The sequence below is a fragment of the Homo sapiens genome, chromosome 1 (genome assembly GCF_000001405.40).
Source record: "Homo sapiens chromosome 1, GRCh38.p14 Primary Assembly".
NCBI lineage: Eukaryota > Metazoa > Chordata > Mammalia > Primates > Hominidae > Homo > Homo sapiens.
In genome coordinates this window covers 225,567,837-225,589,403 of record NC_000001.11, presented here as the reverse complement: position 1 = coordinate 225,589,403, position 21,567 = coordinate 225,567,837, and the positions used below count along the sequence as shown (strand labels likewise).

Here is a 21,567-nt window from a genome sequence, read left to right as displayed (position 1 = left end):
AAATAAAAAGTAAGTTGTAGTCAGCACACTATTGCCTAAGTATGTCAGTATTTATATCGTTACCTAGGGTTCAATAATGCTTATATATATTTTTTCCTTTTGTGATATATATATAGCGGAATGCACAGATTATTGGGAAAGTTTTAACAGATGCAAACGTGTAACTCAAACTCCTTTCAAGATTACAGAATGTTCTGGGGGTGATGGCAAAATTCCCTGAAGCTCCTTCCCATGTCACTCCTCGCTTTGCCTCCCCTGCTGCCCATACTGTTTTGTTTCTACTATAGATTAGCTTTTTTTTCCTGTTCCAGAATTCATCTAGGAACCGTAAAATATATACTCTTGTGTAAGGCTTTCTTCACAGCATAATGTTTTTGCAATTTATCATGTCATGTATATCAGTTGTTTGCTTTTCTTGTTTTCTGATGAATCTTTGGGTGAATACACCACAATTTATTCATCGTCTTGTCGATGGATACCTGGGCTGTTTCCAGTTTTGAGCAATACCTAACATTGAAATTGACTTGTCAGAGGGTAGGTGTTTGTTTAATTCTGTAAGAAACTGCCAAGTTTTTTCCTTTTTTTTTTTTTTTTTTTTTTTTGACACAGACTTGCTCTATTGCCAGGCTGGAGTGCAGTGGCACGACCTCGGCTCACTGCAACCTCCGCCTCCCATGTTCAGGCGATTCTGCCTCAGCCTCCTGAGTAGCTGGGACTACAGGCATGCGCCACCAAGCCCAGCTAATTTTTGTATTTTTAGTCGAGACGGCGTTTCACCGTGTTGGCCAGGCTGGTCTCAATCTCCTGACTTCGTGATCCGTCCACCTTGGCCTCCCAAAGTGTTGGGATTACAGGCGTGAGCCACTATGCCCGGCCCCAACTTTTCTTTCAAAGTTTGTTGAACCATTTTATACTCTCACCATTGCTGTGTGGGAGTTAGGGTTAAACCATGTTTTAGCCATCCTGCTGGTTATGTAGTGGCATCTTATTGTGATTTTAACTGGCGTTTCCCTGATGATTAATGATTTAACACAAATTTACTGAGCATTTATATATCATGTTTTGTGACATCTGTTCAACTTATTTGCCCAATGTTTTATTGGTTGTTGGAGTTTCAGAAATGTTGGATTCATGTCAGATTTATGTTTCGTAGATTTTTTTCTTCATCTGTGCCTTGCCTATGTATGCATTCTCTCCCTTTTCCCCTCCTCCCTCTCTTTCTTCCTGTAACAGCTTTATTGAGAAAAAATTTATATACTCTATGCATTTTCTTAAAAGTGTCTTTTTATGGGAGAAAATTTTAATTTGCCTTTTTTCCCTGTAATTATTGAGAAGAGCTTTTGCCTTCCTGTGATGATTTTTCTCCTAGGTTTCCTTCTCCAAGTTTATGGGTCTAGCTTTTAGGTTTAAATCGATATATCTTGAATAATTTTTTTGTATGGTGTGAGGTATGCATTGAGATTTTTTTTCTGCATGCATATCCAGTTGTTCCAGCACCACTTATTGAAAAGATTATCTTTTCTCCACTGACGTCTTTTTAAAAAATTAGTTGTCTTTATATGTGTTGATTTCTGGACTCTGTCCTGTTTCATTGATATATTTGTCTATTTTTGAGGCCACTACCATACCCTCTTAATTGCTGTAGCTTTGTAATCTTGAAATCAGATACTATTAGTCTTCTATCATTATTCTTTTTTTGTTGTTGTTTTGGATATTCTGTGCTCTTTGAATTTCCATATGAATATTATAATTAGTTTGTCAATTTCTACAAAAATGGCTTGATGGGATTTTCATTGTGATTGCATTTAACTTGTAGATTAATTTAGGAGAGACTTGACATCTTAACAATATTGAGGCTTCCAATCCATGAACATTGTATATGTTTAAGTTTTTTAAAATTTCTCTTACCAGTGTTTTTTAGTTTTCAGCATAAAGATTTTACGCATGATATTATGAAGATTTTCTTTTTTGGGTGCTATTGCAAATGCAGTTTTTAAAACTTTATTTTTCTGGTTTGTTGTTGCTACTATATAAAAAATGCAACTGATTTTTTAAATTAAACTTGAATCCTGTGACCTTGCTAAATTCACTTACTAATTTGCTGCTTTGTAGATTCCTTAGGATTTTCCATAAGCAGCAATTCGTCATCTGCAAGTAGAGGCTATTTTCCCTTTCTGTCCTTTCTTTTTTTTCCTTTTCTTTCTTTGCCTTAGTGCAAAGGCTAGGACCACCAATACAATGTTGAATAGAAGTGGTTAATCCTTGCCTTCTACCTGACCTTAGGGGGAAGGAGTTCAGTATTTCAAAATTAAGTATGATGTTCTAGATATTTTAATATATGATCTTTATCACATTAGGGGAAATCACTTCTCTTCCTACTTTTCTGAGAGTTTTTGTCAAGACAGATGTTGCATTTTATCCCTGCTTTTTCTGTCCCCCAGCCAACCCCACCCCCACCTCTTTTTTTTTTGAGATGGTCAGCCTCCTGAGTAGCTGGGTCTACAGGCACGTGCCACCACGCCTGGCTACTTTTTGTATTTTTAGTAGAGACAGGGTTTCACCATGTTGGCCAGGCTGGTCTCGAACTCCTGCCCTCAAGTGGTTCGCCTGCCTTGGCTTCTCACAGTGCTGGGATAACGGGTGAGCCACCATGCTCGGCCTTTTTCTGCCTCTTTTGCATTACGTTGTTCTTCTCCTTTATTCTGTTACGGTGAATTACCTTGATTTTCAGATGTTAAACCAATCTTGCATTCCTGGAATAAACCCTACTTTGTCATGATGTGTTAGTATTTTAATATTGCCAACTTTGATACTATTTTGTTAAGAAATTTTGTGTATTATTTAAGGATAATATGATTTTCTTTATTTGTAATATCTTTGTGTGGCTTTCATGTTGGGATCACGCTGGTCTCATGAATCAAGCTGGAAATGTTTTCTTCTTTATTTTTTTGAGAGTTTATATAATATCAGGGCTGTTTTTTCCTGAGCTATTTGACACAATTCACTAGTGAAACCATGTGCCTGGAGTTTTGTTTGTGAGGAGCTTCATATATCAATTTCTTTCTTCCTTTTCCCTCTACTTTTCCCTTTTCCTTCCCCCTCCTCTCCCCTCTTTTCTTCCCCCTCCTTCTCCTCTTTTTCTTCCTTTTTTTTTTTTTTTTTGAGCTTGTCTCCCAGGCTGGAGTGCAGTGGTGCAACCTCGGCTCACTGCAGCCTCCGCCTTCCGGGTTCAAACGATTCTTATGCCTCAGCCTTGAGTTCCTTGGCTCAGCTGATCCTCCAGCCTCATCTTCCCAAGTAGCTGGGACTACGGGTGCACGCAGCCATGCCTGGCCAATTTTTAAAATTTTTTATAGAGTTAAGAGTCTGACCTTGTTGCCCAGGCTGGTCTCAAGCTCCTGGGCTCAAACAGTTCTTCCACCTTGGCCTCCCAAAATGCTGAGATTACAGGCGTGAGCCGCCATGCCCATTCTTTTCTAACTTAAGAACGAAGCTCAAGTCTTTGCTTTTAGGCCTTTCTTTTCTCATATATGCATTCACAACTATAAATTTCCCATTCGTCACTGCTTTAGCTGCATCTCATGATTTTTTTCTTATTTATTTATTATTATTTTTTACACAGGGTCTCACTCTGTCTCCTAGGCTGGAGTGCAGTGGTACAGACATGCTTCACTGCAGCCTCAGCCTCCTGGGCTCAAGCAATTCTCCCACCTCAGCTTTCTGGGTAGCTGGGACTACAGGTGCACACCACCACGCCCGGCTAATTTTGTATTTTTTTAGTAGAGACAGGATTTCTCCATGTTGGTCAGGTTGGTCTCGAACTCCCGACCTCAGGTGATCCACCTGCCTCGGCCTCCCAAAGTGCTGGGATTATAGGCATGAGCCACTGCACCTGGGCAATTTATTCAATTTTTTTTTATGGCCCAGCATATCATCTATCTTGGTGATTATAGATGTACTTGAAAAGAATGTGTATTCTGCAGTTATTATGTATAGTGTCTTTAAAATATCAAATGAGTCAAAGTGGTTAATAACCTTCATTTATTCTATGTGCTTGCAAATTTTTTTGTGTACTTCTGTTGTCTAGTTTTATCAGTTTAAGGGGGTGTTAAAATTTACAACTAATACTGTGAAAATGTCTTTTTCTCTTTCTCTGTTTTTTTTTTTTTTTTTTTTTTTTTTTTTTTTGAGACAGGGTATCACTCCGTCGCCCAGATGGGAGTGCAGTGGCATGAGCTCAGCTTGCTGCAACCTCTGCCTCTCAGGCTCAAGCGATTCTCCTGCTTCAGCCTCCTGAGTAGCTGGGATTATAGGCACACGCCACTACTGCCTGGCTAATTTTTGTATTTTTAGTAGAGATATGGTTTCACCATGTTGGCCAGGATGGTCTTGAACTCCTGACCTCAAATGATCCACCTGCCTCAGCCTCTCAAAGTGCTGAGATTTTTCCCTTTAATTCTGTCAGTTTTTGCTTTATGTATTTAGAGATGGTGATTAGGTGGCTGTACATTCAGGATTGTTACTTGTTTCTGATGAATTGACCATTTTATAATTTTGAAAAATTCCTCTGCTTAAAAGTCTACTTTATCTGATACTAATGTGTCAATTCTGATATTACTATATGGGTACTGTTTTCATGACATATAATATTTTATTTACTTTGTTCCTTTTTTTATGTTACTTTGAAGATCTTGTTGCTTACCAATGTTTATTTACTTTGAACCTACCTGCTTTCTGTATATTTAAAGTGCATCTCTGTGGGCAGCATGTAATTGATTCTTTATTATCTAATGTCTGCCTTTTAATGAGAGTGTTTAGTCATTAACATTTCATGTAATTATGGAGAGGTTGGACTTCAGTCTACCATTTTAATATTTGTATTCTGTTTGTCCCTTCTGTTTTCAGTCCTTTGTTATTCCTTTTCTGCCTTTTTGGGGGATAAATTGAATACCTTTAGAATTCTATTTTAATTTTTCTACTGACTTTTTTGCTATACCTCTTTGCATTTTCTCTCTCCTGTTAGTTATTGCTTTCACTTTTACCATTTACTTAGAGTTAATGTTGTAGCACTTTGCATAAAATGTAGAAACCTTGCAACTCTCTAGGTTTGTTCCCCCCAGTTTGTTTTGCTGTATTTGTCTGATATATCCTATCTGCATAATTTGAAACTTCTTAAGATAACGTTACAAGTTTTACCTTAAAAGAACACAGTCCAATTTATATTTATCCTGTATTTACCTTTTTTGTTTTTGAAACAGAGTCTTGCTCTGTCGCCCAGGCTTGTGTGCAGTGGCACAATCTTGGCTCACTGCAACCTCCATCTCCCGGGTTCAAGCAGTGCTTGTGTCTTAGCCTCCCAAATAGCTGGGATTACAGGTGTGCACCACCACACCTGGCTAATTTTTGTATTTTTAGTGGAGATGGCGTTTCACCATGTTTGCCAGGCTGGTCTTGAACCCCTGGCCTCAAGTGATCTGCCTGCCTTGGCCTCCCAAAGTGCTGGGATTACAGGTGCGAGCCACTGTGCCCGGCCTACATTTACCATTTTTGATGCTCTTCATTTCTTTTCTTTCTTTCTTTTCTTTTTTTTTTTTTGAGATGGAGGTTTGCTCTTGTTGCCCAGGCTGGAGTGCAGTGGTGCAATCTGGGCTCACTGCAACCTCCACCTCCCAGGTACAAGTGATTCTCCTGACTTAGCCTCCCAGGTAGCTCAGATTACAGGCATGCGCCACCATGCCTGGCTAACTTTTTTTGTATTTAGTAGAGACAGGGTTTCACCATGTTAGGCTGGTCATGAACTCCTGACCTCAGGTGATCCACCCGCCTCTGCTTCCCAAAATGCTGGGATTACAGGCATGTGCCACTGCGCCCAGCCTAATGCTCTTCATTTCTTACAGACTATTTGAGTGTCTGGTACCATTTTCTTTCAACTTGAATAATTCTCTCTCTCTTTTTTTTTTTTTTTTTTTTGATACAGGGTCTTCCTCTGTCGCCCAGTCTGGAGTGCAATGGCGCGATCTTGGCTCACTGCAACTCCACCTCCTGGTTCAAGCAATTCTCCCACCTCAGCCTCCTGAGTAGCTGGGATTACAGGCACCCGCCATCATGCCTGGCTAGTTTTTGTATTTTTGTAGAGATGAGGTTTCACCATGTTGGCCAGGCTAGTCTTGAACTTCTGACCTCAGGTGATCTGCTCGCCTCAGCCTCCCAAAGTGCTGAGATTACAGGTGTGAGCCACCTCGCCTGGCCTCTTTTTTCTTAAAATATCTTTATTTGCCTTCATTTTTAAAGAATATTTTCCCTGGATATGGAATTCTAGATTGGCAGCTTTGTATTTGAGCTCTTTAAAGATGTTGTTTTATTGTCTCTGTTCTCTTTTGTTTCTGCAGTACAATATGAAGATGTCTGTGGTCATCCAATTTATTGTTCTTCTTTATGTAAAGTTTCATTTTTCTCTAGCCATTTCAAGTATCTTCGTCTTCAACTGTGATATACCTACTTGTGGTTGTTTTTAGATTGAATATGCTTTGCTCTTTTTTGCGGAGAGTGGGGAGTTGTCCCAGACTCTTACACATATTAATATGTTAGCCCCAATGATACTGTCCCACAGATCTGTATAACTTGGTTGGACTCAAAACAGCAAATTCTGTCTTTTAGGCAGTGGGTCATATTTTGGTTCAGCTCTTTTAGTTACTTGGAAACTGCCCTACACATGAGTAGATCAGGGATCATCCAGAGATTTAGGCAGAGTTTATATACAGAATTTGGGGTTCCTTCCTGCCCACTGGCTCATTTTCCTCCCAGGAATTTCCTCTCATTTTGCAGCAGCTATGGATTGCCCTGAACTCTATCCTTTTATCTTTAAGCTAGAAAGTCTGTGGGGGTTTCTGTTGGAGTTTTAGCTCTCCCATGTAGCACAGACCAGGACCAGTTGTCAGGCTAAAAGCTGTAAACATCAGAGAACTCTCCCCGTATTATTCCTTTCTTAAAAGAGTTGACTCCCTTCTTCTCATTCTCCAGTGCCTTCCTGCATTAGTCCGTTCTTTTCACTGCTATAAATAAATACCTGAGCTTGGGTAATGTATAAAGAACAGAAGTTTAATTGGCTTACGGTTCCATAGGCTTTACAAGAATCATGATGCTGGCTTCCGGGGAGGCCTCAGGAAACTTACAGTCATGGCGGAAGGCAAAGGGGGAGCTGGCACTTCCTGTGGCTGGAGCAGGAGCAAGAGAGAGAGAGGGGGGGAAGACAACCAGATCTCATGAGAACTTACTATCAAAGGAATAGCACCAAGGGGATGTTGCTAAACCATTCAGAAAGGACGACCCTCATTATCCTGTCACCTTGCACCAGGCCCCACCCCCAACATTGGGGATTACAGTGACATGACATTTGGGCAGGGACACAGATCCAAACCATACATTTCATATAGTTGTTCTATAAATTTTATCCAGAGATGAGGATTGCTTGAGCTCAGGAGTTAGAGACCAGCCTTGGCAAGATAGGGAGATCCCATCTCTACCAAAAATTAAAAAAAAAAAAAAAAATTAGCTGGGTGTGGTGGTGCGTGCCTGTGGTTTGTCCCAGCTACTTGGGAGGCTGAGGTAGGAGGATTGCTTGGGCCTGGGAGGTAGAGGATGCAGTGAGCACCACTGCACTCCAGCCTGGGTGACGGAGTGAAACCCTGTCTCAGAAAAAAATTCTTTTTAATTTTAATCCAGAGTTTATAGTTTTATCTATGGGAGGGTCATTTGGAAAGTTGGCCATTACTTGGCCAGAAGCAGAACCCTCCCTGCTTACATTTTGAGAAAAATAGATTGAGATTCTATAGTATTCTGCTTTAGTTTTTCTTTCTTGATCTCATATGGTACTTGTCTTTTGCTGACACTATTCATTCATTGAAATTAATAACCTTGCAAAATAAAAATATAAGAAGTCAGTGTGGCTCACCCTCCACCCTCCACTCCCACTCCATCTTTCATCCCGTTTTTATTTCCACGTCTGTCTAACTTGGCTCTGCCTGGTGCCTTTATAGCTAAAATTAGCCACACTTGATATTTTTAACTCTACGGTGCTTGGAAAGTATTTTGAGAGGCTTTGCCATATAACTTCATGAAAATAATGTGAGGAAAAGAAGAACTACAGGAAACAGGTGAAATAATCTATTCAGTTACTGAGAAAAGTTTCTTATTAATGGGAGAATTTATTAAGATAGGGAAGTATGTGTTGCCAAGTGAAGTGTTTTCCCACATTTTTCTTTTTTTTCTGTGACCATTTCTAGATGTCTGTACTTTTTGTGAACTCTCATGCTGTGAATGACGGTTTAGGTTTGCTGGTGCACTGGGAATTGATCTTTGAAAATTACAAGTCCAGTTAAAAAAAGATGGGTGGCCAGACGAAGAATCTGAGCCCTGTGTGCCTATATGTGTGCTAAAAGTCACGGAGCTTATGAAATCTGAGGTAATCTTGGCTTTTTTTTTTTTTTTTTTTGGTTTTTTTCTTGAGACAGAGTCTCGCCCTGTTGCCCAGGCTGGAGTACAGTGATGCGATCTCGGCTCACTGCAACTTCCACCCTCCCAGGCTTCAGCCTCCCAAGTAGCTGGGATTACGGCACGAGACACCATGGCTGGCTAATTTTTGTATTTTTAATAGAGACAGGGTTTCACCATGTTGGCCAGGCTGTTCTCGAAGTCCTGATCTCAAATGATCCACCCACCTTGGCCTCCCAAAGTGCTGGGATTACAGGCGTGAATTGCACCCGGCCCAATCTTAAGTAGTTTAAGGTCTTGGGGTCAGGCACGAGGGAGTGAAGGGGTAGTGTGTTACTTATAGCCACACAATAAATTACACAAAGTTTTAGTGGCTTAAAACGTCACGTATTTATTACACAGTTTCTGAGGGTCAGGATTCTGGGTTTGGCTTAGGTGGTTCCTCTAGCTCAGGGTCTTTCATAAATGCAGTCAAAATGTTGGCCAGGGCTGCAGTCTCAACTGAAGTCATCACGGGGGGAGGAGGATCTGCTTCTAAGCTCATTCACATTAATGGATTGGATTTAGTTGCATGCCAGCTGTTAGACTGAGGGCCTCATTTTATTCCTGATAATTGTCTCGTGTGGGCCTCTCCATAAGGTGGTGGCAAGCTAGATGGAAGCCAGAGTCACTTCGTAAATTAACCTTGGAAGTGACATTCCATATATATATATATGTATTTTTTTTCCCATATTCTGTTCAGTAGAGGTAAGTCTCTGGGCATGAATACTAGGAGGTGTGGAGATTATTAATAGCTATTTTTTTGTTGTTGATGAGTTGAGGGTGTGGGGAAGAAGAAGAAGGTATAATAAATTTTTATTTCTTACAGTGTATACTTAGAGTAGGAACCAGAATCACACAGTAGGGTGAGAAATTTTAAAAGCAAAGTTTACCACTAGGAAGCTATGTGATGTCTTACATAGGAAGAACAGCAAAGCATCTCAAATAAAGGAACATAACAAAACTTTAAACATTGAAAGGTTCTTTTTCTGTAGTTTTAGGTTGAAGTTTTATCTTAATTTTCTAGTCAATATTTTTCTACACTGACTTGGATGAAAATATTTATAACTGAAAATATATTATTTCTTTTTACCTATTCTTTTTGAAAGATGTAAAGACATATTCTTCTAATTGGCTAATAGATTTCAAAGTTCATGTGCGTCCTGTAATGTGCTAAACTCATACATTGTGTAGTAACAAAGTTGGAGTAGTTTAAATAAAATAATGGAACGATAGCTGCTATTCTATTCTTCATGTTTCTGTGTGCATGTCTGTGTGAATCTCTATCTGTATCTATAGTTTGATGTCTAAAATGTTTCCCACAGATTTTGTCTTTCATGTAATTCTTTGAAGAAAGTTGAGATTCTATTTGAAGGAAACTTTCCCTGGAGTATTAATTTTATGAATAAGTTTCTTCCTACTGCCTTAAAAAAATCTGATATTCTAGACATGTTTTTGTTATAGGTTAACATTGTATCTTCAGTAATGAAACCTTTAAAATAAACCTTGGTTATTTCTAAAAAGAACATAAATTTCAGCAAATAAATTCTTTCCTCTTAGCTTCAAATTAAATATAACATGAAGTATAATGTGGAAATAATAGAAAATATGTGAAGAGGTAATTTTGTGGAACTAATATAGTTTATAGTCAGAATCTTTCTTTTTTTAGTAGAGTGGTTGCAAGTCCAGACCTGGAAGCAGACTGGCTGCTTTAAGTCCCATTTCTGCCTCTCCCTACAGTATGTCTTTAGTCAAGTTAATTCACTTCTTGTGTCTCCATTTCCTATCTGTAAAATGGGGATATTAACGGTACCTACCACATAAGGTTGTTGAAGAAATAAGCGAATTAATAAAGGCAAAGCACATAGAACCATATATGGCACTTAGTAAGTACTATATACATATCCTTATTTTTTACTATTATTAGTAGTATTATTAGTATCAACACTGGCTCAGTAACTGCTTATGTCACTTAATTGTCTCTGGGATTTAGGTCTTTCATAACATAAACCAAGAGATTTGGATTCTTTATAACTGACTAACTGGGGAGCTGTTAGTCTCTATTAGATAGTAATTCACTGATAAGATTTTTCCTCATTGATAGGATTTTTTGTGCCTACAGTTAAACAATACTCTGAAATATTTATAGACAGTTGTAGAGTGCATTCTTCTGAAACTGTTGGTTTTAATTTTTCCAAGTAACGTTTGCTTTATCTTTGTTAATTAGTCTTTCATATTACAAGAAAGAGCATTGCTTGAATTTTTTCTGTGCTGCTTAGCAGCAGGCTGTCTTTGTCATTATGTGGCCAGCTAGAGTTGCACACACAGAGCAGGTTCCCACCCTAGATAATCTCAGTCTTACTAGTTTGTTAATATTTCTTTCTTTTCTTCCTTTTTTAAGAGAGAGTGTCTCGCTCTGTCGCCCAAGCTGGAATGCAGTGGCTCAGTAATAGCTCACTGTAACCTTGCACTCCTGGGCTGAAGTGGTCCTTCTACCTCAGCCTCCCAAGTAGGTGGGACTACAGGTGCACACCATTGTGCCTGGCTAATTTATTTTATTTTTCATATCTTGTGGAGACAGAGTCTCACTTTGTTTTGTCCAGGCTGATCTCTAACTCCTGGGCTCAAGTGATCTTCCTGCCTTGGCTTCTCAGAGTGCTGGGATTGCAGGTTAGAGCCACTGTATCCAGCCTGTTAATGTTTCTTTTTATTTTTTTCGGTCTCCAGAGCTTTTGTAAGTTTTACAAGTTTCTCTGTCTCTCTTATGGTTCTAAGAATATGGAAATTGTGCATTCTAATTGTCTTTATTATTCTCTGTCTCCAGGTATGTTGCAGATAGGGACAGGTTCTTTTTACCGCCTGAGTCACATTTATTGAATTTTGCAGATTCTATACTTAAGTAAGAGGAATTCATGATTGAAGTCAAATAGTACCATAAGAATTATTGAGAAAAGATTACTCCCTAAAAAGATTACTCCCTATTGAAAAAAAGATTACTCCTAAGCACACATGACTACATGTGGTAGGTACATTCTCTAAAGTACTTTTTCTACATACTATTGTATTTAACCTTTAACGTTTTCCCCTATTTTAAGAGATTTTTTCATCCTGCAGAATGACCCAATAGATTTGCTGAAATGTTTTCTTTTAAATCATGCCATCTTGCTTTTGATGGTCATTTAGACTGACCATTTTCTTTGGTGAATCTGGATCAGTTATACTAGACTGCATTTGTACTTTGCACATGAATATAGGTGTTGTAGGACAAAGAGTTTAATAGTGCCATATTGATGTTTTTACCTTTTATTTATTATTCTATTTCTCAGAAAGATGAATGAAACATAAGTGTGGTCTTTAGAGGAAGTTTTGCCTTTCTGCATATTTGGTGCTGCTGCATTCCAGATGGTTTTCTTGCCTTGCAGAAAATAACTTTGTAGGCTGCCGTTATTTGCATCTGCTGTTTGTCAGTGGCATTCACAGTGTTTTTGTTGTATTCCTCAATCTCTCAGCCATTGTGGCAGAACCGAATTGTAACTAGCAAGCAAATTTTTTCTCCTGATTCTTAGCAAGATTTTTTCTTTCTTTTTTTAATGGAATGGCAAAGGAGATAAGTTTCTAATTTGGTCTACTGGTGATAGTGGTTAGTTAGTTGAAATCAAGTTTGGTATCCTTAAAAATGACATATAACTTTAAATATTTATTTTTCATTTATTTTTGGAAGCTTAAACAGATTTTTAAGTTTTTTAAAAAGTTTTTTGAGATGGGGTCTTAACTCTGTCACCCAGGTTGGAGTGCAGTGGCACAATCTTGGCCCAAGGCTCCAGTAATCCTCCCACCTCAGCCTCCTGAATAGCTGGGACTACACGTGCCTGCCACCCTGCCCAGCTAAGTTTTGCACTTTTTGTAGAGGTGGGGTTTTGTTATGTTGCCCAGGCTGGTCTTGAACTCCTGGGCTCCAGCAATCCACCTGCCTCAGCCTCCCAAAGTGCTGGGATTACAGGTGTGAGCCACTGTGCCTGGCCCAGAAATTTACTTTCTCACAGCTCTGAAAAGTCTGAGCTTGATGTGCTGGCAGGGCTGGTGCTGGTTTCCTCTGAGGCCTGTCTCCTTGGCTTGCAGATGGCCGCCCTCTTGCTGCCTCTTCATATGGATGTTCCTCTGTGTGCTTGCTCCTATGGTGCCTCTCACTCTTTAAATACTCTAGTCTCTGTTATATGTGTTAATTCTCTAGTCTTTTGCTGTAAAGCTTTTTCTTTAGTGTTAGTCTGGTGATGAGAACTCTATATTGTTTTTCTTCCTAAAGCATGCCCCAGCAGATAATGACGTTTCAGCTTTGGTTTCTTTGAAGTGGAGAGAGAACTTAGACATATGCAAAGCATTCTGAATACAGAATTCTGTTAGACTTGTATGATCTTTTTAGTGACCTACCTTGATAAAGACTTTTCAAAACATTTAACTTAATTTTTATAGTATTTCTGTATACTCACATATCAATTTATATAATATTTAGATTGCAGACTTACAAGTACAATTATAATGAATACATTTGGTCACAGACAGCTGATTCTTTTTGTTTTTTGGGTTTTTTTTTTTTTTTTTGAGACAGAGTCTCACTCTGTCATGCAGGCTGGAGTGCAGTGACATGATCATGACTCACTGTGGCCTCGAACTCCTGGCTCAAGTGATCCTCCCACCTCAGCCTCCCAAGTACTTAAGACTACAGGCATGTGCCATTGTGCCCAGCTGATTTTTAAGTTTTTTCATTTCTGTAGAGGTGGGGGTCTTGCTATGTTGCCCAGGCTGCACAGCTGATTCTCAACCTCTGGGAGCAGAACAGTGCAGAGTGATGAGTTGAGGAGCTCTGAGCATTTAGAGTGCTAGTGGTATGGTTTGTGGATGGGAAGGGGAGGAGTGGAGAGATTGTCCATTTGGGCATTGGAGGTCAGAAAAGGAAGCTTTCACTGTCGTATTTCAGGGCTCTTACTCCAAGTTTACAGATGTTTACTTTTTATACTTAGTATCTCTCACCACTTTTCAGGCCACTTCTCTCACAAATCTTTAATTGGGAGAGAGACAGTGCCAGTCCTTCCTGGGTTTAACATCTGATATTGGTAGAGATGATATGCACAATATATTGTGAGAGCACAGGAAATAAGTTCTTGTTTTGGGGGAGTGTAAAGCTTTCAAGAAGAGGTGAGTTTCTGAATTCTCAAGGACAGATCAGAATTAGAAGGTATCTGGGAAGATGAAAATGGGGCAGATAGGTCAGGAAGAGGGGAAGGCGTGTTATTGCTGTAGTTTTAGACTATTTTGAACACCAGTGTGCTCCCAGCACTAGGATGGTAGAATAATGTCTGGCACACATTACATGCTTAATAAGTATTTTAAAGAAAAAATAAATGTTGAGGAAGACAGAGGCCCAATTATAGTGGACCCTGTACGTGATGCTGTGAAGCCAGAGTTTATCCTGAAATGAGTCTTTGAGGTATCTTAACCAGAAGAGTGGCATGATCAGATTTTATTTATAAAAATATCCCTCTGGAAGCATTGAGAGGGAAGAATAAGATTGCAGTGAGAGATACAGGTAAGGAGATTTTTGAAATAAGCCAGTTGAGGAACTAGGGAGGGCCCAAATTAAAGCTTTTGAGCATTGAGCATTGTGAACAAAGGGTACTGATGCATTGTAGGAGTCTTTTGGAAATAGAATTGACAGGGCTTGGTGACTGTGTGTGTGGAGCAGTGAGGGTCACGGAGGATTCTGGAGTGAACCCTACATTTGTAGGATGTTGTGATTTCAGAGTGGTGGTGTTGGTGCTATGGACTAGGAAAAAGCTCGTCTAGTGCTTAACACAGTATATAGCACATGCTATTTATTGTTCACTTTCCTATTTGAGAAAATATGTTTATTATTCGTATCTGAATGCACAATCTTTTTTTTTTTTTATATATATATATTTTTTTTTTTTTTTTTTTTGAGACGGAGTCTCGCTCTGTCGCCCAGGCTGGAGTGCAGTGGCGCGATCTCGGCTCACTGCAAGCTCCGCCTCCCGGGTTCACGCCATTCTCCTGCCTCAGCCTCCCGAGTAGCTGGGACTACAGGCGCCCGCTACCACGCCCGGCTAATTTTTTGTATTTTTAGTAGAGACGGGGTTTCACTGTGTTACCCAGGATGGTCTCGATCTCCTGACCTCGTGATCCGCCCGCCTCGGCCTCCCAAAGTGCTGGGATTACAGGCGTGAGCCACCGCGCCCGGCCTTTTTTTTATATATTTTGGAGACAGAGTCTCACTTTGTCACCCAGGCTGGAGTGCAGTGGCGTACTGTTGGCTCACGGCAACCTCTGCCTCCCAGGTTCAAGCGAATCTCATGTCTCAGCCTCCCAAGTAGCTGGGACTACAGGCACGAGGCACCATGCCTGGCTAATTTTTGGTATTTTTAGTAGAGATGGGATTTTGCCATGTTGGCCAGGCTGGTCTCGAACTCCTGACCTCAGGTGATCCACTCACCTCAGCCTCTCAATGTGCTGGGATTACAGGTGTGAGCCACCGCGCCTGGCCCACAATCTTATATAACTGAGCTGGTCTCGCCCACTTTTACTATATGCCAGGACCTGTGTTATAAATGTGAACAATATTTGTGGAATCGAGTTGAAACCTAACACAATTGTGTTTACTCTGAGCCTCTTTAATCTTTGAAATGTCATAATATTGTAGACATAGCCCAATAAATTGATATCAGAGAATAAGATGGAAATCCTGAATTTAAAATTCCAAAGTTTTTAGTGTTATTTCTTAGTATTTTATCTTCTGAATAAATGACATCTTAGTTCATAGAATGACTCAGTATCATAACAGACGTGATGCTAATTCTCTTTCTTTAGGATATATTCTCTTAAGAGGCTGATAGTATAGTAGAGGTTATTGTGCACATGTTGATAACTCACTACAGACTAGGCTCTGTGCTGCACATAGGGGATTCAAGAAGGGATGACATATTTTCCATTTTCAAAGATGATGAAGACATGTTTCTGAATAAGTGAGTTGGGCCATGACTTTCAGTGGTGGTACATTTTAATACTTTACAGCATATCACATACTAACTGGGAGTATCATTAAAATGCTAGGTGCATCCATAATTTTTTTCCTCCTTTTGATTGCCTCCTCTTTTGCATCCTGTCTATCTACAGATCCTTTCTTCTGTACTTGCAACATACATCCCCAGTGCTTTCCTCTCCCTCCTTTTTTTCTCGTCTGGTATTTGTGCTTCTGTTCTTGATTTTGCTGCCACTTTCTTGAATTTTTTCTCTACATAGTAGCTACAGTTATCTTTAAAATGTAGGCCGTGTTCTGCTTAAAGCCCTTCAGTGGCTTCCCAGTATACACTTGGAGTAAAACTCAAGTCTTTCCCATGGCTTAAATATTGCCTCCTCAGAGAGTCTTGTTTGTTGAGAGATTAATGAATACTCTGAGAACTCGGAGGAAGGAGCAATTAGTTCTGGCTTTGGGAACCACAGAGAGAATTAATAAGAGGAATAGTATTTGATCCAGGTCTTGATGAGTAGGATTTTGTTAGATTACAGTAAGTGCTGAAAAAGCATTTAAAGAGTGCCTACTGTGTGCTACATATTGTCATATTCATGCTTTCTTTGACAAGTAATGATTAATAAGTGATATCTTTGAAAAGAAATTGATATTTGTTAACAACTTGGTTTTACTGCAATCTCAATAAATAGTATATACAAGACTAGCCTAGCAATCCTTAGTCTGCTTAAATACCAGGAAGCGCTTCATTCACTGGTACCTGTGAGAATAGAACTTGGCAAGCGTTCTCATCACATATACCTGCTCAGTCAATTTGACAATATTCAGAAATGAACTACCTGACAAAACTACAAAATTGTAATTTGGTGTCTTGGTTTTTAGACCTTTTTTCCCTTCTTTTAAACCAGCTATCTCTAGCCTTTTAATGCCATATTTTATTTTAAAATACCAAAATTAACATCAGAAGATGAAGTATAATTAACTATATATACCAATTGCACTGGGTCATAAAAATGAAGTTTTTGTTTATAACTAATTTAGTGCCTGATCTTCACAAAAGTACAGCTTGGTAATTTACTAATTTAATCTTTTGCGTAGTCGCTTCACTGACTCAGAATCTTGAAGACTTTGACTGGGCATTCATTTTGAGGCTTGTCATGATGCAGATAGGATGGTAGTAAAATGATGCATTGCTCTAGTATTTGTTCACCAGTGTCCATGCAGCAATACTGTCTCTTGTGGCTGAGGCCAGCCATATTTTAAAGCAGGCCCTTGGCTAAGCATTTCACTGGACCAGGGAGAAACGGGGAGAAAACAAAATCTGCAGATAATAGAGGGAATTGTCTAGAAAGCTCAAGTTATTGCATTTAATGATTTGTCTTTGTTTTGAAATATTCCTATTTTTAGATTCCAGAAATATCATTTTAAATAAGTTATGTTTGTCCCCACCACCGCCCCATCGCATACCTGTCAAGTAGGGCAAAATATTGGCAGCCAGTTCTGTATTGATTTATCTAGTCTGCTTTTGATGTTCATGGCTCCATGAAGTCTAAAACTGCTTACCACCAATTTATTTTGTGCATCACACCTGTAATCGGAGTTAGTATGTGAGTAGCTTTTTTCCTTACTTCAACAGTCTCTTCTCGAGATTTCACCAGCTGGGTGTCCAATAATTCAGTTCACTCTGACACTGTGCAGAGTTAACGTAGACCCCATAGGTTAAGGGCTCAGTTCCATAAGGCTGCTCCTACTTCAGATACCAGCTGCAAATGGAGTGCCCAGGCTACCCACATCTGCTTAGCCAACTGCAAATACTGAGGTTCCTGAAACCACCCAACCCACATTTGATAATTTGCTAGAATGATTCCCAAAACTCAGGAAAGCGCTTCACTATTACCCATTTATTATAAAGGATATAATTTAGGAATAGCCAAATGGAAGAGAGGCATAGGGTAAGGTGTGAGGGTGCGGGGGTTGAGTCTTTTCCTGCCCTTTCCAAGTGCGACTCTCCCAGCACCTTCATATGTTGATCAACCTGGAAGCCCTCTGACCCTGTCATTCAGGGTTTTTATGGAAGTTTCATTACATAAGCATGATCGATGAAATCATTGGCCATTGTGATTGAACTCGATCTCTAGTCCGTCTCCCTTCCCCAGTTGTTGGCGGGGGGCAGTAATGAGGTGGGAAGTGTGGGCCTGAGTTCCAGCCTTCCAGTCATGCCATGATATTTCCGGCCACTTGGCCCCATCTGAAGCCATCTAGAAGCCCCTTCAGCCAAGAATCATCTCATTAGTATACCAAAGACACTTTGAGGAGCCCTGTACCCAGGACCCCAGGCCAAATACAGTTGACCCTTGAACAGTAGAGTTATAAAAGGTGAGTAGAGGGGTGGAGGAGGTTAGGGACTCTGGCCCCCAAGTGCAACTTTTCTTTTGTTTTTCTTTCTTTTTTTTCTTTTTTTTTGAGACAGAGTCTCACTCTGTCGCCCAGGCTGGAGTGTAGTGGCATGATCTCGGCTCACTGCAACCTCCATCTCCTGGGTTCAAGCGATTCTTGTGCTTCAGCCACTCGAGTAGCTGGGACCACAGGTGCACGTCACCATGCCTGGCTAATTTTTGTATCTTTAGTAGAGATGCAGTTTCACTATGTTGGCCAGGCTGGTCTCCTGACCTCAAATGATCTGCCTGCCTTGGCCTCCCAAAGTGCTGAGTTTACAGGCACGAGCCACTGTGCCTGGCCCAAGTGCAACTTTTGAATCCCCCATAACTTAACTAATAATAGTTTACTGTTGAGTAGAAGCTTTATAGATATCCATAAACAGTTGATCAACACGTTTTGTTATGTTATGTGTATTTTATACCATATTCTTTTTGAGACGGAGTTTCGCTCTTCTTGCCTAGGCTGGAGTGTCATGGCGCGATCTCAGCTCACCATAACCTCTGCCTCCCAGGTTCAAGCGATTCTCCTACCTCAGCCTCCCGAGTAGCTGGGATTACAGGTGCTCGCCACCAGACCTGGCTAATTTTTTTTTGCATTTTTAGTAGAGACAGGGTTTCTCCATGTTGGTCAGGCTGGTCTCCCAACTCCTCACCTTAGGTGATCTGCCCGCCTCGGCCTCCCAAAGTGCTAGGATTACAGGTGTGAGCCACCACGCCTGGCCCATATTCTTAATCTAGAGAAAAGAAAATGTTATTTAAAAAAACATTAAAAAATCACAAGAAGGAGAAAATATATTTACTATTCATGAAATGGACATGGATCATTATAGAGATCTTCATCCTTGTCTTCATGTTGAGCAGGCTGAGGAGGGGCAGGAAAGAGGAGGGCTTGGCCTTGCTGTCTTAGGAAGGGTAAGGTGGGAGAGGAGAAGGAGGTGGAAGGGGAGGCAGGCACAGTTTTTCCAGTGTAACACTGGAAAAAATACTGAAAAACACTGGAAAAAAAAAATCCATGTATAAGTGGACCTGCGCAGTTCCCATGTTGTTCAATGGTCAGCGTACATGGCAGGATGTCTCTAGTGAGAAGAGGTCCTCAGATGCTGTGGAAAGGAATAAGAGGACTGAGTTGCATTTGTCGCTAAACCCTAGCAGGCAGTGCCATCCTTTCCTGGCTGGGCCTTGATGGGGGCTTCTCTGAGTGCCTAATGTATTTTTTTTTTTTTTTTTGAGATGGAGCATTGCTCTGTCACCCAGGCTGGAGTCCATGGTGTGAGTATGATTCTCCTGCTTCAGCTTCCCAAGTAGCTGGGGTTACAGGTGCCTGCCACCACACCCAGCTAATTTTTGTATTTTTAGTAGAGATAGGGTTTCCCCATGTTGGCCAGGCTGGTCTCGAATTCCTAAACTCAGGTGATCCACCTGCCTTGGCCTCCCAAAGTGCTGGGATTACAGGTGTGAGCCACTGCGCCCCACCAGTGCCTGATATCTTCTAGGGCTACACAGTTATTTGGGTTTAGCTAATCCCTTCACAGTGTGCCACATACCCACATGGCAATTACTACCTCTCCAATAACACCTCAGCTCTTACCCATAGCTTATTTTTTCTTCTCTTTATTCTCAGCTTTGTTTAGAATTGGAAATGTTTAACATTTCATTTTGAAGATTTCTTTTCATCTTCAGAAAACCAGTTAATTTTTTGCATTTTTGACTTTTCTTGGCTACTTGGATATGTTCATTTGGAGAAAAAAAGTAGAGGAAAACTTTGGGGCCATTAAAGCTAACTTTCCTTGTTTTAGATTTCTTATACTTAAAAGAAAAAAATTTTTTTGAGGCATGAAGTGACCTGTTTACAAAATGAGGTGTTGCTTTAGCTTATATGATCTTACTGACACTTCTTAAAGGGACATGATTTTATTTTATTTATTTATTATTTAAGTTCTAGGGTACATGTGCACAACGTGCAGGTTTGTTACATAGGTATACGTGTGCCATGTTGGTTTGCTGCACCCATCAACTCGTCATTTACATTAGGTTATTTCTCCTAACGCTGTCCCTCCCCCAGCTCCCCACACCCCAAGACATTATCTCTTGAATCTTGGGAATCTTAGAAACAATGTAGCTGCAAAAATATTATTTGAAAACTGGAAACTACTATCCTGTATTATTCTAGATTTGTTTATTGAATTATTTACATTTAGCAGTAAATTTGTTGCTTGAATTGTAAGCTGTAAGAGGCACTTTGCCTTGGCTTGTTTCATGTAATCTTTCCATAGGGTTATGTAAATGTCATCACATGCAAAATATTTCTGTTGTGAATGATGGAGAGATTTTTCAACTGCTACTGACACATGCCCTTTAATCTATCTTTTAAAACTAATTCAAGTTTTAGTCATTGGCTTGTTTTCATTCCCAGAAGTATTTTACCAAAAATGTCAGTGCAGCATAAAAATGTAGACATTACCATTGGGTTTGCTGCACAAATATTGTTACAAGTTAGTTTTTGTAAACATTTTTCTAATGGAAAATTACAAATAATTATAACCCTGTTGTTCTGAAGCAATTTTATTACTCAGTGCTGTGACCTTTTTAGGCCTTCAGTGATCCTCTGTCATCAAGGACAAGAATAAAACACATGCCATCTCCTGCAAAGTTGCATTTCATTATCCCTCTTGGATGGGTTAAGAGGTGGGGCAGATGCACGAGCAAGAGGGGAGAGTGTGAGGGTGACTTTCTGTTTGAGAATTTTTAGGAAAGAACCGACATGATTTATTGTTTAAAATTTTTGAGATAAAATTGATAGAATAAGCAGTGCTTTTGTGAAGGATGTGGTTGCACGAGCTACTTCAGAGGATTTCCATTAATGACTGTTAAGTCTCAGGAGTATCAGAAGGCTTGTCTATTGAGGTTGAGTTATTTTAATTGGGTTAATAGCATAGAGTTGATGTGCCTATTCTAATATCCTAGAATATTTGAAAGATGAACCCATTGCTTAAGATGAAATTGAGATTATCTTTATATTTTATTTTAAATATAGAGACGGGGTCTTGATATATTGCCCAGGCTGGTCTTGAACTCCTGGCCTCAGGTTATTCTCCCACCTTGGCTTCCCAAAGTGCTGGGGTTACAGGCATTGAGCCATCGTGCCTGGCGTCTCTATTTTATTTATTTGTGTATCTCAGTCTCACTTGGTAACAAATAATTGAGTTAGATGAAGCTAATGTTTAAAGATTCTATGACAGAATTGGCCTTTTCCCCTTTAATATTTATCTTTGGAGGCTAGAATTTAAAATCTAGTGGGGTCTTTAGAAATTACCTCATTTTACATTTTCATTTTTAAATGAAGAAATTTGAAGCACAAGATGTTATCTTGCCCAAGGCGAATGAGGAATTTAGTTACACTGCCATCCATTGGTTGTTAGCGGCCACTCCATGTCTCAAGGGGCAGATGGTTGATTATCAGACTTAGTTACAGACTTTAGGGCAAGCCTGAGGATAAAAGTAATTTTCTCAGTAAAGAAGGTGTTATCACAGACAGGTCATCAGTATACTAAACATGTATGC

The 21,567-nt window shown here is 39.9% G+C and overlaps 1 protein-coding gene across 35 annotated transcripts in view, besides 1 other annotated feature; it reads left to right on the top strand.

Annotated features, from left to right (window-relative positions):
- The window catches only part of ENAH (ENAH actin regulator), a 167,050-nt gene that overhangs the window by 64,475 nt on the left and 81,008 nt on the right, over positions 1-21,567 (top strand). The window lies entirely within an intron of this gene.
- Positions 13,220-13,389: an enhancer, noted in NCBI's record as "experimental_5624 CRE fragment used in MPRA reporter constructs". NCBI's record gives its function as "activates a minimal promoter by MPRAs in K562 erythroleukemia cells, with activity observed for both the introgressed and non-introgressed 1:225763802 variant alleles {active_cell/tissue: K562}" and the evidence as "EXISTENCE:reporter gene assay evidence [ECO:0000049][PMID:34662402]".